This window comes from Homo sapiens, chromosome 6, assembly GCF_000001405.40.
Source record: "Homo sapiens chromosome 6, GRCh38.p14 Primary Assembly".
Classification (NCBI taxonomy): domain Eukaryota; kingdom Metazoa; phylum Chordata; class Mammalia; order Primates; family Hominidae; genus Homo; species Homo sapiens.
In genome coordinates, this window is record NC_000006.12 from 169,411,525 (window position 1) to 169,415,833 (window position 4,309).

Below are 4,309 nucleotides of genomic sequence, written 5' to 3' on the forward strand. Positions count from 1 at the left end.
CTGTCCATACCAGCGGTGCTGCCCTGCCAGCCATGGCAGAGCCGAGGGGAGCTTTGCTGATCCTCCCTGCCCCAGTCCCTGCCTTATGTGGTGATCCCACTTCCCAAGAGCCTCCGCATTGTTAGATACAACAGGGAAGTTAGTCTTATGTTGGAAGGTTGTTCTGGCGTGAGCTCTTCCCATAGATGAGGAGCTGCTTGAAGTCCCCACTGTGTGCTCTTCTATAGAGAAGGAACCACCTGAAGTCTCTAGCACGTGCCCTTCCCACAGAGGAGGAACCCCCAGGAGTCCCCAGTGTGAGCTCTTCCCACAGAGGAACCACCTGGAGTCCTTGACATATGTTCTTCCCATAGATGAGGAACTGCCTGGAGTCCCCAGTGTGAGCTCTTCCTATAGATGAGGAATCGCCTGGAGTCCCTGGTGTGAGCTCTTCCCAGAGATGAGGAACCCCCGGAGTCCCCGGTGTGAGCTCATGGCCAGTTGCCACACAGCATCCATGAGGACTGTTGTGCAGTCGGATGGGGAGTCTCAGAACCTAAAAGGACAGGGGAACCCTTACATGATTATATAAGACAGGCTTTCTACACAAGTTGGGAAAATAGAACTTTTTCTGTATGACAGGGTCTGAAACAACAGCCAGCCTTAGGATAAATGGGCACAGACTAGGTTGTCAAAGGCTTAACATTTGGATCAGAACCAGGGCTTAGGTAGGGGTAGCGACTGTCCAATCATGTTTCACGTAGGCTGGTTCTGAGTGTTATTAAGACATTCCATGAAAACAACTGACCCATGGCCAACATGTGCAGAAGATGCTGGTTCAGTAACCACCATAAAAATGTATGAGTCTGTTTGCTCTGAGATTTCTCAGTGTTTTACCATGATACTCTGCACTGAACATGCTCCTTCTATTGGCACCTCTTAAGGGACTGGTGTCCTGGGGCACACAGAGCCCCAGTCCCCCATACATTCGGTCTCCTCTTCCCCCCACCTGGGGCAAGAGGGCTTCTCTGCAATGGCCTTGTCTTGTCCCTTTGGGGTTGCCGGGTTACTCTCCATCAGGTGCACGGAGGCCGTGCTGTGGGAGAGGAGTGTCCACGATGCAGAACCCCTGATGATGAGATTTCTTCTCACTCGCTGTCAGATGTGGATCTCACCTCCAATCAGATCATAACCTAGGACTGATTTTATGAGACTCCCACAAAGATGTCTCTAGGAACACATTGGCCTAACCTAAAATGCAAAGCACACTGCCATTGCTGGGGCTCATCTCCTGTTACACAGATGACCAGGGAGAGCCTCTCAAAGGTGAGAGCCGACACATGCAGCACCCACCAGCCTATTCAGAAAGGTAAGTACAAAGTCTTTTGGCAAATGTTGAATGTCAATGTTCCTAAGGAGAGTAAAGCTGGGACCAGGCAAACAGCACAGGCTGCATGGTCCTGGGTCTGGGGGAGCAGAAGCTGTGAGATGGAGTCAAATGGGGCAAAGAGCCAGATGCAAAGGTGAGTGATGCAAGCAGGGTTAGCCATCACCCGAGTGTGGAATGCAGCCTGGGGGCAAATTTTCACAGGGTCTCTGCTGGCTCACATGATTTCCTGGGCTTGCATTTCTCACGCTGAGCAGCTGAGCAGGTGCACTGGCCGACCATGGAGAGAAGCACTGCAATCACACTTCAGACAAGGGAGAAAGTGGCAAAGCTCCACCCCACTAACAACCGTAAGAATCTTCCTTTTAGGAATTTTGAATTCTCCAAATGTGGGCCAGGCTGCTAACTAAACGTAAATGGTACTGGACAAGGTTAAATCATGAAGTCAAAAATAGACACACAACATTATGCACTTGAGTTCTACGTTTTAAGATGGGCTTTGGCGTTTCATAATCCAAGGTGATTTCCAGCCCCAGGTTATGTATTAAACATATGGCATATTGTGGTTTACAAAGCACTTTCCTATGATTATCTATTTAGAGCTTCACAACAACCATGTAAAGAAAGGAAATAAGTATTCCAGAGTCCTATAGGAGACCACTGTGCCAAATAAACCATGGCTCATGCCTTTAATTCCAACACTTTCAGAGGCCAAGGTGGGAGGATGGCTTGAGCCCAGGGGTTCATGACCAGCCTGGGCAACATAGTAAGAACCTGTTTCTACAAAAGAATTTTTTTTAATTAGCCAAACATGGTGGTGTGTAACTGTAGTCCCAGCTACTCAGGGTGGCTGAGATGGGAAGGCCACTTGAGCCTGGGAGGTAGAGGTTGCAGTGAGCCCTGATTGCACGAACACATTCCAGCCTGGGTAACAGAGCAAGACCCTGTATTTTCTACAGCATAATTAGAGCATGTTAACAAATGTCAATTAGGACACTTCTACTTTTGGCCACAAAGTAACAGCTTTTATCGAAACATCAGCTTAATTCTCCAACCCTACTGCCATGAACAACTCTAAAAGCCAAAGAGGATGCATACACAGAAACAATGACAACATAAAGCAAGCTTTTGAAGGCACCCAAGGGCAGCTGAGTTAGGTAGGAACTGAGGGACCAAAAGCCACAAAAGAAGAGAAGTAGACTCAGGTGAGCATCACTTTTGCTTTTGCTTTTTCCCTCAGGACGTTTATAAATTGAAACCTAGAGAAAAGAGGCCAAACAGAAAGTAGTGGCCAGACGCTTTGGTACTCTGGCTGGTTTGGGAGGATCCAAGTTAAAGTTTAAGGATAAAAAGGAGGTCAGGACTTGAGTGGGAAAAGAGAAATGCAGAGGTTTATGCTCAAAATTCTGGGTCTACCTTTTCCCTGGGGCATTTCTTGGGTTCTAAGCTGTGCATGAAAGACTTCTAGAAACCAGCATGGAACAGGAACTGGAAGGATAAAGTAGAAGCTGCTGTGCAGTGCTAGGGAAACAGAAGTTAGAGTTCAAGGCTTGACAAAGAGGAGAGGACTTGCCAAACACCTTGGGGTTTCAGTTGAGTTTCCAAAAGAACTATGCCCCAGAAATAAGGACAATTTGGAAATAGCCCAGTGTTTGCAAAACCTAAAACTGGATAAAACTGGATCAAAATGATTTGCCAATATTCTATCTATTTGCAAGAAGAAAATTAAATCTTTCATAGATAAAGATGAAAAATGCCAGGATGTCTATACTAGTCACACTAATGTCAAGCATTCAATTAAAAACTACCATCCATGCCAAAAAGCAGGACTGAAACAACTGAAAACCAAGAAGAAAAGCCAGATAATACAAATAGACCTACAAGTGACCTTAGCTGGGGACTTTAATAAAAGTTTAATTAGTATATCCAAGAAAATATAGAGAATTTGATTAAAGAACTGCAATCGATAATTATTCTAATTAAAAATTGAGTAGCTAAAATTTAACGTCAGTAGGGGGGTTTAATAGCAGTCAGACATAGTTAAAAAAGTGGAGTACTGGAAGATCAATCATTGGAAAATATTCTATCTAGCATCAAGAAAAAAATATAAAATTTTTAAAAGGCAAAAGGACATTTGCAGCAGTATGAAAAATTAAACATTTGTATAAATTGATTCCAGAAACAGAGGAGGAAGGGAGGGAGGGTGAAATAGGGGAGTGGGAAGAGAGAGAGAAAATATGAATATGAATGCATTAGAAGCAGAATTAGACAAGAGACACTGACTGAGATTTTCCCTAAAACAATAACAACAAAAGGCATGAAACCACAGATTAAGGCTCAAACGATCTCAAGCAGGGCAGGTAGGAAGAAAGCCTCACCAAGTTACATCATAGGAAAGCCACTGAAACCCAAAGATGAAGAGAAAATCTTAAAAGCAGGCAGCCAGAAAAAAAGATATATTCTCTTCAAAGCAACTATAATAAGACCGACAGCTGATGTTTCCGAGGGAAACCATGGCAGACAGAAGAAAATGGAAAGAATGTTGAAAGAGCGAAATGAAAACAACTGCCAATCTAGAATTCCATGTCCCATAAAAATGTCCTTAAAAAATGCTTTAGGAAAAATAAAAGCTGATAGAATTTATCACCAACAGATCTACATTAAGAGAAATACACAAAGGGATTTCCTAGCATGAAAGAAAATCATCTGAAAAGGAGGAAAAAAATTAAAGAGAAATAAAAAGCACTAGAAGAGTTAAACATGTTGGTAATTCTAAATTAATATTCAAAACAAAAATAATATTATTATTCAGAGTTTGAAATATATGTAGAATTAAAATATATGTAAACAATTGCACAAAAGATGGTGGGAGTAGTGAATGAAGTTAATTTGCTAAGATTTTGCATAGTCCTGGGCATGGTAACAGTACTTAAGGATGCATAT

The 4,309-nt window shown here is 43.2% G+C and overlaps 1 annotated feature.

Moving 5' to 3' along the window:
• Positions 240 to 433: a silencer, noted in NCBI's record as "fragment chr6:169811859-169812052 (GRCh37/hg19 assembly coordinates)". NCBI's record gives its function as "represses an EF-1alpha promoter that drives an FKBP-Casp9 reporter gene in an ReSE screen in phorbol 12-myristate 13-acetate-treated (for megakaryocytic differentiation) K562 erythroleukemia cells {active_cell/tissue: K562(+PMA)}" and the evidence as "EXISTENCE:reporter gene assay evidence [ECO:0000049][PMID:32094911]".